General features: G+C 38.1%; 1 protein-coding gene across 8 annotated transcripts in view; it reads right to left on the bottom strand.

The window, feature by feature from the left end:
* Positions 1848 to 21013, bottom strand: part of PHKA1 (phosphorylase kinase regulatory subunit alpha 1) — a 135493-nt gene continuing 116327 nt past the window's right edge. For all 8 annotated transcript variants that reach the window (NM_001440788.1, NM_001440787.1, XM_047442160.1 and 5 more), the window contains 4 exons: positions 16138 to 16308; positions 7283 to 7336; positions 5432 to 5632; positions 1848 to 4209 (listed from right to left, as the gene is read on the bottom strand). In NM_001440788.1, coding sequence (NP_001427717.1) covers positions 4036 to 4209; positions 5432 to 5632; positions 7283 to 7336; positions 16138 to 16308 — 600 coding nt within the window. In that variant the 3' untranslated portion in view covers positions 1848 to 4035. The remainder of the gene's footprint in view (positions 4210 to 5431; positions 5633 to 7282; positions 7337 to 16137; positions 16309 to 21013) is intronic.

A 21013-nucleotide genomic window follows, 5' to 3' on the forward strand; every position in this document is an offset into this window, starting at 1 on the left:
CATTATTGCTAAAAGTAACATTCGAACCGGTAAGTTCAGGTTGGGCTGTGCCATATTTTTTTGGTGCTTTCCCCTGCTTTTCCCCAGAAGGGGAGGCAAACACATTACAAGGGCACCACCCTTCAGTGAATGAGCAGAGTCTTCTCTGCTCATTTCACTATCTGTCCAGTGACACTTCAACTGTCTTCAACTGACCCTTGTCACACCACCCCCTTAATGTCATTTTCCTTGGAGAGTGTCATTGTTGAGAATGTGATCGCTAGCGTCAGACTGCATGGGTTCAACTTCCAGCTCTATCACTTATTAGATGATTGATTTGGGGCAATTTACTTAAACCCTCAGTGCCTCAGGTAGCTTACTTGTAAGATGGCAGTATCTATCTTACATGGCAATTGTGAAGATAAAATGGCTCACGCTAAGTGCCTATATAACAATGGCATTTGGTATGTGCTCAAATATTGGTTATTTAAGAGCCATTATGCCAAATATTTCTATATTTGGTGGGGAAGGGAGTTTCCCCCTACTGTCATCCTTACCCCCATACCACTACTGCACAAGTACTACTAGTGGTTTGAGAATAAGTTCTTGGTTTTTTGGCTTAGCCTTAAAAGAAATCACACATCTGCTAAATATAGGGTGACCATATCTTTCAAACTGAGACATTTTTTGAGAGTGACACAGTGCTATTGATAATTATGCCAGTAAAACAGGCATAAATGGGGGCTGCCCTGGACAAACCAACACCTGAGGTTACTCAAGTTAAAAAGGAAATGAATGTCTACCAAATATAAGAATAAAAATTGATGGCTGTATTTTTTTAAAATTAAATAAATAAAAAGGAAATGAAGACTACATGTGGAAAATAATCTCCACTGCATTAGTGCAGACACTAGGTACTTGGTAAGTAGAAAAAGGAATGGCAGAGGTTTTGCCAGCTGTGGTGAAGAACAACTTTTGCCCCACCAGTTGTGTAAGATTCCCAGAATGTAGTAAAATTTCATTAACCAGGATGGAACTGTAGAGACAATGTTCATCCTTGCTGGATAAATCCTGTTATAGAAAAGGCTAATGAATAGTATAAACAAACAAGATTCTGCCAAATATTTTTAATATTTAGAAAAACAAGTTGTTTTAAAATACCCTTCATTAGGGAAGAAGCACCATTTGTACACAATTGAAAGGCTGAGTAAAAATGTTTTACTCATTCATCAGAAAATGTTCCCTACAGGCCAGGCGCGGTGGCTCACGAGTGTAATCCCAGCACTTTGGGAGGCTGAGGCAGGCGGATCACCTGAGATCAGGAGTTTGAGACCAGACTGGCCAACATGGTGAAACCCCGTCTCTACTAGAAATACAAAAAAAATTAGCTGGGTGTGGTGGCGCATGCCTGTAATCCCAGCTACTCGGGAGGCTGAGACAGGAGAATCGCTTGAATCCGGGAGGCAGCGGTTGCAGTGAGCCGAGATCACCCCACTGCACTCCAGCCTGGGCGATAGAGCAAGACTCCGTCTTAAAAAAAAAAAAAAAGAAAAGAAAAGAAAAGAAAAGAAAAGAAAAGAAAAGAAAAGAAAAGAAAAGAAAAGAAAAGAAAATGTTCCCTACAGATGTCAATAAGCCCGCTTGAATTTAGTAAGCCTTGTTTGAGTGGGTATGTATTTGAATGATTAAACTGCATTTCTTTACATATATTATCTAACATATTATGAAATGTATAATATATTATATATGTATTAATATATTAATATTATTCTACTTCAACCCAATGAATGAGCTTTGACTGTACTGTATAATTAAGCAGAGTATGTAGAATAAAGCCATGAAATAAACTCCAATCACAAAAACACATGTGAAGTTTTGCACATTGGCACCAGACATGATTTAATTGGAAATTCTTATTATTTATTCTATTTTCAAAACATAAGTGCTTTTTTAAAAAAAGTCTAACATGTCTTTTTAGTACCACACACTTAAAATGAACAAAAAACAAGTCGAGTTTTCTTAAAAGTTGCTTTAAAAGTTAAATACCACTGTATGGGGACCATAATGACACAATTTCGTAAACTCAGAGAAATGCAGCCCTTCGAGTAAGTTCAGGCAAATGAGTGTGGGAAGGAGTGGATCTTTTGCCTGTGGCACTACAGATATACTCCCTGAGATTGGGGTACACTTACAACCAGTGAAAAGACAAATAGTTTCAGAACAGGTTGTAAACTTTCTTTAAAAGTGACCAGAAAATAATGTAGTCAGAAAGCTACTTACTGTGTGTTTCCATTTGCTCTGAGAGAAGTGCTGAAAAGGTTTGCTGTCCTCTCTTTGTTTCTACTATCTGTATTCTATCACCCTACTATATGCTTACTTATTCATTATATTCATAAGATTGTCACTGGTTCTGCAAGAATTGTTCAGAGAGTCTCTCATCCCCACCCTCACCATTCCCAATATTGGGGAAAAACTTTAGAAATCCAAGATAAAGGAGGGGGTTGAAGTAGGAAGTTATCTAAGTGCAAAAAGGGAAGTTAACAGAGTCTCTGCACAATTCAGAAGAAGGAGAGTTAGAAGAAACATTTGTCAAGCAAGGCTACCTACATATGGGATGAAGGAAGAGGACTGAAGCTATTCTTCCACCAATCTGTGTGTGTCAATCTGAGTCCACAGTCACATCCCTTCTCTCACATGCAACATTCTTACTCAGTCCATCAAATGTAGATACAGATTGATATACAGACACATCAAAACTGCTTACATTCAGAAAAATTCCCATGTATGCTTATACACACACACACACACACACACACATACACACACAAATATGTGTCTTTATAAGAAACAGACATATGCCCACAGATACCATGATATACAGGGATATGTACACTAGAATTAGGAAGTGAAAATATATATGAAAGAGTTTAAGAATAGATGGGGGGATAGGGTGTCAGGGAGTTGAGTTGGATGTAGTAGAAAGTAGGTGAGTGAGACAGAGACCAGGAGCACATGAAAAGAATGCTAAGTAGAGCACCTATAGACTGGACTGCTGTATTTATCTTTGCTGAATACAGACGCTTCAAATTATTGTCTGTGTTGTGTATTGGCCCATTTTTCAAAGGCAGGGATTAAGCGCATAAGGCTGTCTTCAGGGAACTAAGCCACCTCTGATTCCCTCTCTGTTCCCTATGTATAAGACATTGTCCAGGCATCGTCTCTTCTTTCCCTTCCTCTCTGGAATTGGGCTCCGGGCTCCATTTCTGGGTTATTCTGCATTTTCTGCTGCAAATACAACTCTGAGTACCAACAATCTTTATAAAATGTGATTTCAAGTGTTAGTTCAGAAATTCTTAAATATGCATGCTGTACTTGCATTTTTTTGATATTTCACCAAAGTGAGAGAGGCATTATGTGTGCAGACACAGAGAGGGCAACAGTAGAGACAATGATTCTACATAGAAACAATTTTAAATTATCACTCAGTGTGAAGCAACCTGTAAGTAAGGAAGAAAACCATGATCCAGTACTCTCTTTTCCTAAGAAAAGGCACGTAGAATAGGTAATTCTAATTTATAGCAGCATAAATATTTAACAATTTAGAGTTTACTCATTTGAAATAATGTCCCAAAGTACCCACCACTCATATACACAATAAAATCACAAAAAAGAAAAACCAAGCTTTAGGAATAAGTTATTATTAACACTTGCTCCCCAAACAGGAGTTAGAAAACTATATTGGTAACAGATCTAGAGAATAAAAACACATGCAAACTTTTATGAATGATGAAAGAAATAAAGCCAATCATGACAGGCCTGGCTGAGTGTTCATTATACTCATAAGATTGTCACTGGTTCTGCAAGGTGAGCCTCCAGGTAAGTGTTCACTTCTTCTACAGTAGTTAGTTTATCGAAAAAGTTCTCTCTTCTTGGGAAGGATGGGACAGAAAGGGGCAGGGTTGGAGTGATTAGGCAATAACATTTTAGTTCCATGCACAATCAACCGAGGCAGGGACCAGCTGTCAAAAGGCTCCCAGAAGCCAGGAACCAAAGCCCTCATTGCATGGCACAGATGCTGTGGGGCAGGAACTCCTGCACGTAGGTGGCGGCTGCCTTGGAGAGGTAGGTCATGGTGCCAAACCTGCCACTGGGTGCACTGTCATACAGAAGAGTACAGATGCCAGATGCGGGATCCTTTGCCAACATGGTATCATCTGCGCCAAGGGTTTTCTGTTTGGTTTTTAAGGGTAGAAGAACATAGGGGAAAGGAAAAATTACCAATCTTACTAAGTAAAGTCCTGATTAGCATAATTCAGAACCTCCTCCCCAACACCAATTAGTTGGGCCCTAGACTGTTTATCCAGGAAGAAATAGGTTTATGGACAAAAGGGTGAATATGAGTTTGTATGCAGGCATTTTTCACTAGGTCCCCAAATCATGTAAATTATTTAAAAATTATTAATTGTTTAGAATTTTCCCCATTATGATCAATTTCTAAAAGTTAAATATAATCATTCATCTATTGAGTCATACCTATTAATAGACAAATGTTAACACAAATCACCGTAGTAGAGCTTTGGTCTGACTCCTTCTAGTACTACTAATTTCAGCTTGTATTCTTTTATCCTGCATTTGATCATGATTTCTTTCTAAGGCGACTTAATTCAAATAGACTAAGTTTTCTGAGGCTAGAGGTCTATGCCTAAAAGGGAACACATTTTTAGATACATGGACTGACAGCAATCCATAATTTTTAAAATTAGAATCTTCTTAGAAAGCCCTGGATATTTTTCTTTTGCATCTCCTCCCAGTGGCTAACAGAATGAAAACAGCTATTATATGTTTTGAAAATTTTTTTACTGCCAACAGTGCCTGTCCTTCACTTATGTGCTCCTACTGTTAATACGGGCAACATTTGGGACACTTTCAATAGTTTGTATTTTTGAATGTGGATAATTTCCTGGAAGAAGATTTATTAAGAAAATAAGAAAAATGTAGGAGTAAAAGTTTCACTTTCTTATTTTCCTATAGGTGAATAGCAAAAGCAAAGTAAAACTAAAACCAAATCTCTTTTCCTCAATAGTTCAGAAAGGATATGCCATCCAATAGTTTCTTATTAAGTCCTTAAAGCTACAAAAAGCACTGTGATCAGAAATTTGAAATATGATGCTAATGGTATGCTTCAGGGCCTTTCAGGGAAAAGCATAAAGCCTCCTGAGTTCCAGGCAACTTTACCCTCTAACACAAACCAAAAACACATGGTGAAAGACAGAGGTCTTCCTGCGGCCTACTTCTTTTGCAAACAGAGCTCAGAGCCGCTACAAAGGGGGCCCAAAAAAGAAGTATGAGGAAGAGGGCACAAGAAAGTGACCGTGGCTCCTCAAAGACCTCTGAATGTCATCAGGTTGGAGTAAAAACATTTCTCTATTGAGAAAACAACAGGTTTGCCTACCTGTTCTTGAAGGAACAAGTCATTGGCAATATGCACTATTTTTTCCACAGCAATGATGCTTCCGATGCTATGAATTTCAATATCTGCCAGCATGGTGAGGACAAGGATGGCTTCAACCAGCAGCTGACGGTACTCTGGCTGAGGTACACGATTCAGGACAGACTCCACATGAACAGAGAATTTAATCTCACCTGGAGTCATCTGTGATAGAGAAAAAGAAAATCACTTCCTAAGAGTCCATCATCCAAGAAACATCAATCACCTGCTCTGAAAGGCAGTAAAAACACTGTAGCCATGAGCATTGATTCAGCCCCCTTCAAAATAACTGAGTGAGTAAACTGCTTCAATCTTTTTGGAGGGCAATCTGGCAACGCATAACAAGAGCTATAAGAGTGTCCATGCCCTCTAACCCATAATCCTATTTCTGAGAGTTCATCCTAAGATAGTAATTCAAAAGAGGAAGAAAGCTCCATATAGAAGAGTACTTATAGTAGCTTTAGTCACAAGTGTAAAACTAGAGGTAACCTAAACATGGGAACGGCATATCATGGCATAGCAACTTCATGAGTTTTTACATGACTGTTTATTAAAATCTGATCACTGTAAATAAAGGAAAAACTGAGGTAAAACTTAAAATTGTATGTATAATACATAAAAATTAGAATTATGTAAAACATCCATATACTATTAGATTAAAAAGGGCATTAAGAAATGTAAAGTTATTTTGGGGTGAAGGGGATTGAGAAGTATACTTTGGTAAACTTGTATTGAGTATATCCTCTAGGGAGGCAATGTAGATTTGGAGTATAAAGACTTGGGTTCAAGTCTTATCTTTGTTACTTACTAGTTATACAACCTTAGACAATTAATCTCTAAATTTGTTTCCTTATCCATAAATTAGGAATGATAATTCCTTCTTTACCTATTTTACATAATGGTGTTTAAGGCCAAATTTAAAAATGTAAAAATAATGTTTGAAGACTCTTAAAGGTACTATTCAGGTATGTATTATTAATTATATGAACATTTCACTCTTGCGTAAAGGTAGAGAAAAGACAAATGGGGGACATGGCATTCTTGATTAGAGAAAAGGCCTGTAGGCAATAGTGAAGCCCTGAAGCATAACATTAGCTTTCTGTACCTGTCCCCCAAGATGCTATCTGAAACAACCCCAGCATTTTTGAGAACTTTCTACTATTGAATCTTACTACTTCAATCATGCTAACACTAGCTCCTTTGTTGACTCTGTGTAAAAGCTAGTTTTTATAATTTCTGTGTAGTTTGGACAAAAAGGAAAATATAAAAGCATCTGATAATCTATGTCTGTGGTTCATGGTAATATTTTCCAACCACGGTTATATATTAGAATCATTCTATAGATTAAAAAAAATACAGATGCTCACGTCCCATCCCTGGAGATTCTAATCCACTAAATTGGAAATTGGAACCCGGGTTACCCCAACATATAGTTGTAGCTAACAACCACTGGTTTATGTTCTAATGGTCTACAAACATCCTACTAGAGAAAGGTAGGAATGTGAAGGACGGGAGACATGAGAAGTCATGCATTCATAGATTTTGATCCCTCTGCCTTGTCTAACCCTCACAACGCTCACATAAGCCGGCCTAACTTAATCAACCATTAAAAGAATTTGTCTTCATATAAAGTAATCCATACTTATTCTATAATATTCTCTTTCCATTAAAAAAATTGTCTTTTCTTCAAATGCATTTCATGTTCAGTTGATTTATAAAAGCATGGATCTGTCACTTTGAAAAGTAAGTGATCACTGGGATACTTTAGCCAGCAAAGTTATCAGTCACATAAATGTGCAAGAAAGAGACTCTTACCTCTCTAGTGGTAGAGGAAGGAAGGACAAACCCTTCAACAGAAAGTCCGTGACACTGCAAAACAGAAAAAAAACCATATCACCAAAAACCATATCACCAAGGATAGACAAACAACGGGGAGGCTATGAGGAGACGCTGTATTTCTAAGTGTGCCTCATGTGGTATATGCTGAGTAATCACAGACTAGCAAGGGGCTCTGCAGTCCAAGTGCCCTTGCCATGGAGTTGTGATGCCTAAGTGCCAAGATGCAGGATTGGACTATAGGAGACCTAAGGTTCATCCTCTACTTAGGGAAATGGAATGAGTAGGAAAGCTCTATCTTTTGGGATAGACTAGTCCCAAATATTCAGAGACTATCTGGAAAGATATCATACTAGGTCGCACGGCCATCACAAACAGGCCTTAGAAAAAATTTTAGGCCATAGGAAAAAACTCAAGACATGCATTTATTTATTTACTTATATTTTAGTGAGCAAAAGTTTTCCTTTTTTTTTTAACACTTGTTTTTTTTTTATTATTATACTTTAAGTTCTAGGGTACATGTGCACAACGTGCAGGTTTGTTACATATGTATACATGTGCCATGTGGGTGTGCTGTACCCGTTAACTCGTCATTTACATTAGGTATATCTCCTAATGCTCTCCCTCCCCCCTCCCCCCACCCCATGACAGGCCCCAGTGTGTGATGTTCCCCATCCTGTGTCCAAGTGTTCCCATTGTTCAATTCCCACCTATGAGTGAGAACACGCGGTGTTTGGTTTTCTGTCCTTGCGATAGTTTGGTGAGCACAAGTTTTATTTACACACTGTATCCATAAGCAGATGCATATATTCTTATACAAGTAATTTCCAAAAATGTGTAAGAAATTACTATCATTTGTTAATAAACCAAAACACATATTAAAATCAAGGGATTTTAGATACTTCATTTTGTGGTGTTCTAAGTACAAATGGTGCACACCTGATTTGAAACATATAAAAAGTATAAACTACAGCAGTCCAAAATGCAAGTATTAATTTCATGGCACTCCAACAGCTATAAAATTTTTTTAACTCAAAATGTATGCTTTTCACAAAATTCTATAAGAATTTTTCATCTGTGGATGTAGAGTTTGGATCACTTTTCAGAAATGGCAAGTGTGCAATTTTGCCATGTTATGATTGATTAATAAAAAAGATGTTTATAAAAAACCTTGGGTCTCCATTTCAAGATGGCCAAATAGGAACAGCTCCAGTCTGCAGCTCCCAGTGTGATCAATGCAGAAGACAGGTGATTTTTGCATTTCCAACTGAGGTACCTGGTTCATCTCATTAGGACTGGTTGGACAGTGGGTGCAGCCCACGGAGGGCAAGCCAAAACAGGGTGGGGCATCACCTCACCCGGGAAGCGCAAGGGGTTGGGGGATTTCCCTTTCCTAGCCAAGGGAAGCCGTGACAGACTGTACTTGGAAAATAGAGACACTCCCGCCCAAATACTGCACTTTTCCAGTGGTCTTAGCAAATAGCACACCAGGAGATTATATCCCATGCCTGGCTCACCAGGTCCCATGCCCACAGAGCCTTGCCCACTGCTAGCACAGCAGTCTGAGATCGAACTGCAAGGCAGCAGCCTGGCTGGTGGAGGGGTGTCCGCCATTGCTGAGGCGTGAGTAGGTAAACAAAGCTGCCTGGGAAGCTTGAACTGGGTAGAGCCCACCTCAGCTCAGCAAGGCCTGTTGCCTCTGTACATTCCACCTCTAGCGGGAGGGCATAGCTGAACAAAAGGCAGCAGAAACTTATGCAGACTTGAACGTCCCTGTCTGACAGCTCTCAAGAGAGCAGTGGTTCTCCCAGCACAGTGTTTGAGCTCTGAGAAAGGACAGACTGCCTCCTCTAGTGGGTCCCTGACCCTCGTGTAGCTTAACTGGGAGACACCTCCTACTAGGGGCTGAATGACACCACATACAGGCAGGGGCCCCCTGAGACGAAGCTTCCAGAGGAAGGATCAGGCAGAAGTATTTGCTGTTCTGCAGCCTCTGCTGGTGATAACCAGGCAAAGAGGGTCTGGAGGGGACCTCCAGCAAACTCCAACAGACCTGCAGCTGAGAGACCTGACTGCAAGAAGGAAAACTAACAAACAGAAAGGAATAGCATCAACATCAACAGAAAGGACATCCACACCAAAACCCCATCTGTAGGTCACCAACATCAAAGACCAAAGGTAGATAAAACCATAAAGATGGGGAGAAACCAGAGCAGAAAAGCTGAAAATTCTAAAACCCAGAGCGCCTCTTCTCCTCCAAAGGATCACAGCTCCTCACCAACAACGGAACAAAGCTGGATGGAGAATGACTTTGACAAGCTGACAGAAGTAGGCTTCAGAAGGTTGGTAACAACAAACTTCTCTGAGCTAAAGGAGGATGTTTGAACCCATCACAAGGAAGGTAAAAACCTTGAAAAAAGATTAGATGAATGGCTAACTAGAATAAACAGTGGAGAGAAGACCTTAAGTGACCTGATGGAGCTGCAAACCACGGCACAAGAACTACGTGACGCACGCACAAGCTTCAGTAACCAACTCAATCAAGCGGAAGAAAGGATATCAGTGACTGAAGACTGAATTAATGAAATAAAGCGAGAAGAGAAGTGTAGACAAAAAAGGGTAAAAAGAAACGAACAAAGCCTCCAAGAAATATGGGACTATGTGAAAAGACCAAACGTACGTCTGATTGGTGTACCTGAAAGTGACGGGGAGAATGGAACCAAGGTGGAAAACACTCTGCAGGATACTATCCAGGAGAACTTCCCCAAACTAGCAAGGCAGGCCAACATTCAAATTCAGGAAATAAAGAGAACAACACAAAGATACTTCTCAAAAAGAGCAACACCAAGACACATAATTGTCAGATTCACCCAGGTTGAAATGAAGGAAAAAAATATTAAGGGCAGCCAGAGAGAAAGGATGGGTTACCCACAAAGGGAAGCCCATCAAACTAAGAGCTGATCTCTCGGCAGAAACTCTACAAGCCAGAAGAGAGTGGGGGCCGATATTCAACATTCTTAAAGAAAAGAAATTTCAACGCAGAATTTCATATCCAGCCAAACTAAGCTTCATAAGTGAAGGAGAAATAAAATCCTTTAGAGACAAGCAAATGCTGAGAGATTCTGTCACCACCAGGCCTGCCTTACAAGAGCTCCTGAAGGAAGCAATAAACATGGAAAGGAACAACCGGTACCAGCCACTGCAAAAACATGCCAAATTGTAAAGACTATCAATGCTAAGAAGAAACTGCATCAACTAACGAGCAAAATCACTAGCTAACATCGTAATGACAGGATCAAATTTACACATAACAATATTAACCTTAATGTGAATGGGCTAAATGCTGCAATTAAAAGACACAGACTGGCAAAATGGATAAAGAGTCAAGACCCATCAGTGTGCTGTATTCAGGAGACCCATCTCTTGTGCAGAGACACACATAGGCTCAAAATAAAGGGATAGAAGAAGATCTCCCAAGCAAATGGAAAGCAAAAAAAAGCAGGGTTTTGCAATCCTAGTCTCTGATAAAACAGACTTTAAAGCAACAAAGATCAAAAAAGACAAAGAAGGCCATTCCATAATGGTAAAGGGATCAATTCAACAAGAAGAGCTAACTATCCTAATATATATGCACCCAATACAGGAGCACTCAGATTCATAAAGCAAGTCCTTAGAGACCTAGAAAGAGACTCAGACTCCCACACAATAATAATGGCAGACTTTAACACCCCATGTCAATATTAGACAGATCAATGAGACAGAAGGTTAACAAGGATATCCAGGACTTGAACTCAGCTCTGCACCAAGCACACCTAATAGACATCTACAGAACTCTCCACCCCAAACCAACGGAATATACATTCTTGTCAGCACCACATGGCACTTATTCTAAAATTGACCATATAGTTGGAAGTAAAGCACTTCTCAGCAAATGTAAAACAGAAATCACAACAAACTGTCTCTCAGACCACAGTGCAATCAAATTAGAACTCAGGATTAATAAACTAACTCAATACTGCACAACTACATGGAAACTGAACAACCTGCTCCTGAATGAATACTGGGTACATAACGAAATGACGGCAGAAATGAAGGTGTTCTTTGAAACCAATGAGAACAAAGACACAACATACCAGAATCTCTCGGACATTGAAAGCAGTGTGTAGAGGGAAATTTATAGCACTAAATGCCCACAAGAGAAAGCAGGAAAGATCTAAAATTGACACCCTAATATCACAATTAAAAGAACTAGAGAAACAAGAGCAAACAAATGCAAAAGCTAGCAGAAGGTAAGAAATAACTAAGATCAGAGCAGAATTGAAGGAGACAGAGACACAAAAAACCCTTCAAAAGATCAATGAATCCAGGAGCTGGTTTTTTGAAAAGATCAAAAAAATTGATAGACTGCTAGCTACACTAACAAAGAAGAAAAGAGAGAAGAATCAAATAGACACAATAAAAAATGATAAAGGGGATATCACCACCAATCCCACAGAAATACAAAATACCATCAGAGAATACTATAAACACCTCTATGCAAATAAACTAGAAAATCTAGAAGAAATGGATAAATTCCTGGACACACACACCCTCTCAAGACTAAACCAGGAAGAAACTGAATCTCTGAATAGACCAATAACAGGTTCTGAAATTGAGGCAATAATTAATAGCCTACCAACCAAAAAAAAGTCCAGGACCAGAGGGATTCACAGCCGAATTCTACCAGAGGTACAGAGAGGAGCTGGTACCATTCCTTCTGAAACTATTCCAATCAATAGAAAGACGGAATCCTCTCTAATTCAGTTTATGAGGCCAGCATCAGCCTGATACCAAAGCCTGGCAGAGACACAACAAAAAAAGAGAATGTTAGACCAATATCCCTGATGAACATCAATGGGAAAATCCTCAGTAAAATACTGGCAAACCGAATCCAGTAGCACATCAAAAAGCTTATCAACCATGATCGAGTCGGCTTCATCCCTGGGATGCAAGGCTGCTTCAACATATGCAAATCAATAAAAGTAATCCATCACATAAACAGAACCATCGACAAAAACCACATGATTAACTCAATAGATGCAGAAAAGGCCTTCAACAAAATTCAAAAGCCCTTCATGCTAAAAACTCTCAATAAATTAGGTATTGATGGAACATATCTCAAAATAATAAGAGCTATTTAAGACAAACCCACAGCCAACATCATACTGAATGGGCAAAAATTGGAAGCATTGCCTTTGAAAACTGGCACAAGACAGGGATGCCCTCTCTCACTATTCCTATTCAACATAGTGTTGGAAGTTCTGGACAGGGCAATCAGACAAGAGGAAGAAATAAAGGGTATTCAATTAGGAAAAGAGGAAGTCAAATTGTCCCTGTTTGCACATGACATGATTGTATATTTAGAAAACCCCATCGTCTCAGCCCAAAATCTCCTTAAGCTAATAAGCAACTTCAGCAAAGTCTCAGGATACAAAATCAATGTGCAAAATTCACAAGCATTCCTATATACTAATAATAAACAGAGATCCAAATCATGAGTGAACTCCCATTCACAATTGCTTCAAAGAGAATAAAATACCTAAGAATCCAACGTACAAGGGATGTGAAGGACCTCTTCAAGGAGAACTACAAACCACTGCTCAAGGAAATAAGAGAGGACACAAACAAATGGAAGAACATTCCATGCTCATGGATAGGAAGAACCAATATCATGAAAATGGCCATACTGCTCAAGATAATTTATAGATTCAATGCCATCCCCATCAAGCTACCAATGACTTTCTTCACAGAATTGGAAAAAAACTACTTTAAAGTTCATATGGAACCAAAAAAGAGCCCGCATTGCCAAGTCAATCCTAAGAAAAAGAAGAAAGCTGGAGGCATCACGCTACCTGACATCAAACTATACTACAAGGCTACAGTAACCAAAACAGCATGGTACTGGTACCAAAACAGAGATATAGACCAATGGGACAGAAGAGAGGCCTCAGAAATAACACTACACACCTACAACCATCTCATCTTTGACAAACCTGACAAAAACAAGAAATGGGGAAAGGATTCCCTATTTAATAAATGGTGCTGGGAAAACTGGCTAGCCATATGTAGAAAGCTGAAACTGGATCCCTTCTTTACACCTCATACAAAAATTAATTCAAGATGGATTAAAGACTTAAATGTTAGACCTAAAACCATAAAAGCCCTAGAAGAAAACCTAGGCAATAGGCATGTGCAAGGACTTCATCACTAAAACACCAAAAGCAATTGCAACAAAAGCCTAAATAGACAAATGGGATCTAATTAAACTAAAGAGCTTATGCATAGCAGAGGAAACTACCATCAGAGTGCACAGGCAACCTACAGAATGGGAGAAAATTTTTGCAATCTACCCATCTGACAAAGGGCTAATATCCAGAATCTACAAATAATTTAAACAAATTTACAAGAAAAAATGAAACAACCCCATCAAAAAGTGGGCAAAGGATATGAACAGACACTTCTCAAAAGAAGACATTTATGCAGGCAACAGACATGTGAAAAAATGCTCATCATAACTGGTCATCAGAGAAATGCAAATCAAAACCACAATGAGATACCATCTCACACCAGTTAGAATGGTGATCATTAAAAAGTCAGGAAACAACAAATGCTGGAGAGGATGTGGATAAATAGGAACGCTTTTACACTGTTGGTGGGAGTGTAAACTAGTTCAACCATTGTGGAAGACAGTGTGGTGATTCCTCAAGGATCTAGAACTAGAAATACCATTCGACCCAGCAATCCCATTACTAGGTATATACCCAAAGTATTATAAATCATGCTACTATAAAGATACATGCACATGTATGTTTATTGCGGCACTATTCACAATAGCAAAGACTTGGGACCAATGCAAATGCCCATCAATGATAGACTGGATTAAGAAAATGTGGCACATATATACCATGGAATACTATGCAGCCATAAAAAAGCATGAGTTCATGTCCTTTGCAGGGACATAGACGAAGCTGGAGACCATCATTCTGAGCAAACTATCACAAGGACAGAAAACCAAACACCACATGTTCTCAGTCATAGGTGGGAACTGAACAATGAGAACACTTGGTCACAGGGTGGGGAACATCACACACCAGGTCTGTCATGGGGTGGGGGGCGAGGGGAGGGATAGCATTGGGAGAAATACCTAATGTAAATGACGGGTTGATGGGTGCAGTGGGCCAGCATGGCACATGTATACCTATGTAACGAGCTTGCACATTGTGCTCATGTACCCTAGAACTTAAAGTATAATTAAAAAAAAAGAAAAAAAAACCTTTACAGAATTTAAAGAGTATTCACACAAATCAAATTTGTCATTCCTAGCACACCAATAGTTTTAGAATTTTAAAGTCATTTATAGAACTGGCTATTGTTCCATATTACAGTATTCAACAAAGCTATCTGTTACTGGGTATAACTCTAAATATCTTTATAACAAAGCTTTCAGAAATGCCAATTTTAATTACTGTACACTGCATGTTGTATATGAGAGATATTGGTTTATGAATGATTTAAAACAATATATTTTCATTTAAATTTTAAGTGCTTTTCTTTGAACATAAAGTCTTAATTTGAAAATGAAATCAAGACATGCATTTATCGGACATGTACTGTTACTACATTTGCTAGCTAAGCATCCCATCCCTTCATAAATACTCATACCCTGTTCTTGTTTTTACACAGTACTTATCATCTTTTAACATTCTAGATACTTTGCTTATTTACTGTTTATTATTTATAATTTGTTCCTCCCTAGTAGAATATAAGTTCAAGGAGAATGAAGATTATTATCTGTTTTGTTCTTTGCTGTATGAGCACATAGAACATTGCCATAATCCATGCATAACTGAAGAGATAAAATAATATTTGTCACCATTGTGCTATAGAAGTTAGCTGCAAAAAAAGCAAGTTATCAGTACTCTTTAAAGGAAGATTGCCAGAGCCCATAGTCTGAGGAACCAACTTTTACCTTTCCAAAAGATCACCTGATTCTGTCCTTGGAAGAATATCCATGCCCAAAGGGGAAAAAACATAACTGAAGGGTTTTAAGTCCTGGATGAAGTGATCTTCAGGTCCTTATTAAAGCCAGTGATGCAGAAAGTGGCACCTAAGAGACTATGAATGAGACCTATGCTGAGCATAATAGTGTTCTTGGCCCTCTAAAACTGTCACCACCATAATAGTGTGGCATGCCCTTAAATTTCTTTGGCCAAATAGGCCTTCAAAAGAAAAATAAATATTGGTCACATCAAAGAGTCTCCGAACTATTACCATCATTATGACTTTGCATTTATTTAGTAGTTTTCATCCAAGAAAAAATATAGGTAATAACTCCTAACACAAACTCCCCAAGTACTGCATTTGTTTTACTCTACTGATACTTGGTTTTACTCTACTGATACATTTGTTTTACTCTACTGATAGCACGTTGCTACAAATAACATTTACAACCCTCCACAGCTACAAAGAAAGTTAGCTCTTTAGTAACAAATTCGTTTGATTAGCAGCAAATGTATCACAATGTCCAACTATGGCCAGAAGCAGAGAGGTGATGATTTTAAAAGTCTAATTTAGAAACAAGACTATGGCAACAATAATAGAAAGAGACTAAATTATTAATAATGCCACAATAACAAATCAACTGTTTCATTTTTATGTTTTCTTCTTGGTTTTGTCTATCTGAGTTATGACTTTTACATAATTGCAGTGATTATATTAGTCATGTCATATCTCTGCCAAGGAGACTGAGAATTTCAAGGGGCAAAAATGAGACATCAACAATGTATTATGCTCACCTTCTGCAAAACTTTCCATACTTTCTGATAAAATCCAACTGGAACTCTATTCAGTGCCCCATCCAGCCTTCTTCGGCGTTGCCATTGACCTTGACGACTATCTTTAGATGACTGCTGATCATATGCACTAGGAAAGGACCCACTACTTGGAGTCATAGAGGTTCCAGGTGACTTGGAAGAGGAGAGGAAAGAACATAAATCAAAAGTTATCTCTGTTTCTATGATGAAGTCTTTGAACTTTTTTTTTTTTTGAGATGGAGTCTCGCTCTGTCGCCCAGGCTGGAGTGCAGTGGCGTGGCGCAATCTCGGCTCACTGCAAGCTCTGCCTCCCGGGTTCATGCCATTCTCCTGCCTCAGCCTCCCGAGTAGCTAGGACTACAGGCGCCTGCCACCATGCTCGGCTAACTTTTTGTATTTTTAGTAGAGACGGGGTTTCACCATGTTAGCCAGGATGGTCTTGATCTCCTGACCTCATGATCCACCCGCCTGGGCCTCCCAAAGTGCTGGGATTACAGGCGTGAGCCACCACACCCGGCCCAAGTCTTTGAACTTTATAGTGAACAATAAACCTACTCTGCAGAATTATAAACCAAATATTAAGTGAAGCAGCCAAGACAAAGAGGTTATAGTGAAGCTAGTAGACTTATATGTAGCTAGCAGTGCTGTACGCTGGTACAATCCTTTTTGAAAGCAATCTGGTGATACATGAGAAAAGTCATAAAAATACTGATGATTTGGGACATTCTTAGCTGTCTCTTGACCTGATTATCTCTGTTAAACTTCTAGCTCGTCCATGGTTTAGTTTGTTGCCCTCATGGGCCATAAGATGAGCCATAATAAATTTAAAATTGAAATCATACGAAGTATGTTCTCTAACCACAACAGAAGTCAGTAATCGAAATAAATTAAGGAAATTTACAAATGTGGAAATTAACACACTTCTAAATAATAAATGCATTAAGGAAAAAAATCACTAGCAAAATTAGAAAATAATGAAATGAATGAAAACGAAAGCACAACATAGCAAAACTTATGGGATGCAGCTAAAACAGCACTTAACGAACAATTTATGTTATAAATGCCTATATTAAAGAAAGGATAAATGTCTCAAATCAATAAACAAACTTTCCATTTGAAGACAATAAAGAAAGAAGAGCAAGCTAAATTGAAAGCAAGCAGAAGGAAGGAAATAATAAGGATTAGAGTGGAAAGAAATGAAATAGAGACTAGAAACACAATAGGGAAAGCATATGAATCCCCAATTTTTTCCTATGAAAATATCAACAAAATAGACAAATCATTAGATAGAAAGACCAAGAAAAAAAGGGGAAATAAAGACCTCAATTCTGACCTTCAGAAAGAAAAAGGATTATAAGGGCATACCATCCGCAGCCATATGCGGACAAATTACATAATCTCAATGAAACAGACAAATTCCTAGAAAGACACAAACTACCCAAACCAACTCATAAAGAAAGATAACATCTTAATAGAACTATTACAAACAAATATATCAAATTAGTAAGTACAAAACTTCCTTCAAAGTATGGGTTCTTGGCTCGTGGTGCATGGGCATATGGCTTGTGCCTGTATTCCCAGCTACTCGGGAGGCTGAGGCGGAAGGATTGCATGAGCCCCGGAGTTTGAGACCACCTTGGGTGATATCGTTAGACTCTGTCTCAAACGAACAAACAAACAAATAAACAAACGTTCCCACATAGTAGTAAAGCCCATGCACAGATGGATTAACTGGTTAATTCTACAAAACATTTAAAGAGGAATTATTACTAGCTCTTCACAATCTCTTCCAGAAAAGAGAAGGGAACACTTCCCAAGTCATTCTATGAGGCCAATATTACCCAGATACCAAAATCAGACAAAGATGTCACCAGAAAACTACAGTCCAATATCCTTTATGAATATAGATGCGAAAATCCTCCAGGAAATACTAGAAAACCAAATTCAGTGATATACTAAAAGGATTATACAACATGAAGTGGGACTGATTCCAGAAATTCAAGGCTGTTTTAACATCTGAACATCAATTAATGTAATACACTACATCAACAGAATAAAAGATAAAAAACGCATCATCTTAATAGATACAGAAAAAAACACATAACAAAATTCGACACACCTTCATGATAAAAACACTCAACAAACTAGGAACAGAAGGGAACCTCCTCAATCTAATAAAAGTTTAGATTTTTTTCCTACAACAACCCACAGCTAACATCATAATGAGTGGTTGAAGACTGAAGGCTTCCCCCCGAAGATCAGAACAAGACAAGAATGTCCACTCTTATCACTTGTATTCAACATTTTATGGGGGGCCTGAACCAGGGAGATTAAGTAAGAAAAGAAATAAAAGGCATCCAGATTGGAAAAGAAGAGGTAAAAACTATTTGCAGATGACATGATCTTGTATATAGAAATTCTAAGGAATTCACTAACAAGCAACTACAACTAATAAATGAGTTCAGTGAAGTTTCATGATATAAGATCAATAACAAAAATCAATTAAATTTTACTTGAGTAGACATTTCACCAAAGATGATATACAAATAGCCACCACACACATGTAAAGATGCTCAACATCACTAATCATCATGGAAATGCGGATCAAACCACAATGAGCTATCACCTCACACCTGTTAGGATGACCGTGGTTAAAAAAACACCCAAAGATAACAGGTATTGGTGAGAATGTGAAGACATTAGGACCCTTGTACACTGTTGCTGGGAATGTAAAATGCTGCAGCCGCTATGGAACACATTATGGAGGTTCCTCAAAAATTAAAAATAGAACTACCATATGATTCAGCAATCCCACTTCTGGATATTTATCCAAAAGAATTGAAGTCAGAATCTTGAAGAGATATTTGCATGCCCATGTTCAAATGCAGCATTATTCACAATAGTCAAGATATGAAAACAACCTAAATATATATTAACAACTGAATGGCAAAAGAAAATCTGGTAATACATAAAATGGAATATTATTCAGACTTTAAAAACGAAGGAAATTTTGCAAAATATGACAGTGTCGATGAACCTGCAGGATACTATGCTATGAGAAATAAGCCAGTCACAGAAGAACAAATTCTGTATGATTCCAGTTATGTAATGTATCTGAAACAGCCAAACTCATAGAAGCAGAGAGTAGAACGGTAGTTGTCAGGGGCTGGGTAGAGGGGAAAATGGGAACTTGCTATTCAATGGGTATAAAGTTTCAGTTATGTAAGATGAAAACGTTCTAGAGATCTACTGTACAACATCAAGCCTATAGTTAATGATACTATATTGTACACTTAAAAATTTTTTAAAGGATAGATCTCATGTTAAATGTCTTACTATAATAAAAAAATTAGTTGTATTTGTAAACAGCAGCAATGAACAATATTAAAATAAAATTAAGAAAACAATTCCATTAAAAAATAACGTTAAGAATAACAAAATATGTAGGAATAAATTTAACAAAAGAAGTCCAAAACAAATACTCTGAAAACTATAAAACATGTTGAAAAAAATTAAAGACCTAAATAAATTGAAATATAGTTCCATATTCATGGGTCAGAAGACTTAACATCATTAAGATGGCAATATTTCAAAAACTGATGTACAGACTGAACACAATCTCTATCAACATACCAGCTGGGATCTTTGCAGAAACTGACAAGCTGATCCTAACATTCATATTTAAAAAGAAGACTGAAGTTGGAGAGCTCACACTTCCTGATTTCAAAATTTACTCTAAAGCTATCAAAACTACAAAACTATCAAAACTGTGTCATATTGGTATAGGATGGACATATAGATCGATGGAATAGAACAGGGAGTTCAAAAATAAACCATTATATTTTGGTCAATTAATTTTCAACAAGGACGCCAAGATAATTAAATGAGGGAAAAATAGCCTTTTCAACAAATGGTGCTGGAACAGTGACATCCACATGCAAAAGAATGAAGTTGAACTCTACCTTATACCACACACAAAAATTAAGCCCATTGTGCAGAAAAGAGTTAAGACAGTAGGCCAGAACTGCTATTCTTGGAAAGGCTTGCTTACAAGGTTGGCCCTTGGCTGGCATTTAGAAACTTAGAAACTTGGATTCTGGGAGAGTTCTCACCATTCCCAGAACTAATAACAGTGGCTTACCATGCCTAAACTGTACAAACGCTATGGTTTATGTTGAACGTTTGCTTTCTTTCTGGGAGTCCAGAGTTTTGATACACGCCAGACAGAGGCTGTTTACGTGACCAGCCCTCAACAAGAACAATGGGTGCTGAGTCTTTATTAGGTTCCTTGGTTGGCAATGACATCTTGTCACAACTCATTGCAGGGTGACTCTACTGACAGAGTACTCTGGAAGCTTGTGTCTGTTTTCCCTAGACTTTGACCAATGACTCTTTTAAATTTTTTTTAACTTTTGTAGGTACATAGTAGGTTTATATATTTATGAGGTATATGAGACATTTTGTTACAGGCATACAATGCATAATAACCACATCAGGGTAAATGGGGTATCCATTATCTCAAGCAATTATCCTTCCTTTGTGTTACAAACAATCCAATTATACTTTTTATTATTTTAAAATGTACAATAAATTATTGTTGACTGTAGTTACACTGTGCCCAATGCATCTTGTACCCTTTAGGTGTAATAAACCGTAGCAGTGAGTATGACTATATGCTGAGATCTATGAGTCTTCCTAGTGAATCATTAAATCTGAGGGTGATCTTGGGGATCCCTCCATACATAATCATAGACCTAAATAAAACAGCTAACTCTATAAAACCCTTAGAACACAAATAGGAATAAATCTTTGTGACCTTGGGTTAGGCAAAGCCTTCTTAGATATGACACCAAAAACA

This window comes from Homo sapiens, chromosome X, assembly GCF_000001405.40.
Source record: "Homo sapiens chromosome X, GRCh38.p14 Primary Assembly".
NCBI lineage: Eukaryota > Metazoa > Chordata > Mammalia > Primates > Hominidae > Homo > Homo sapiens.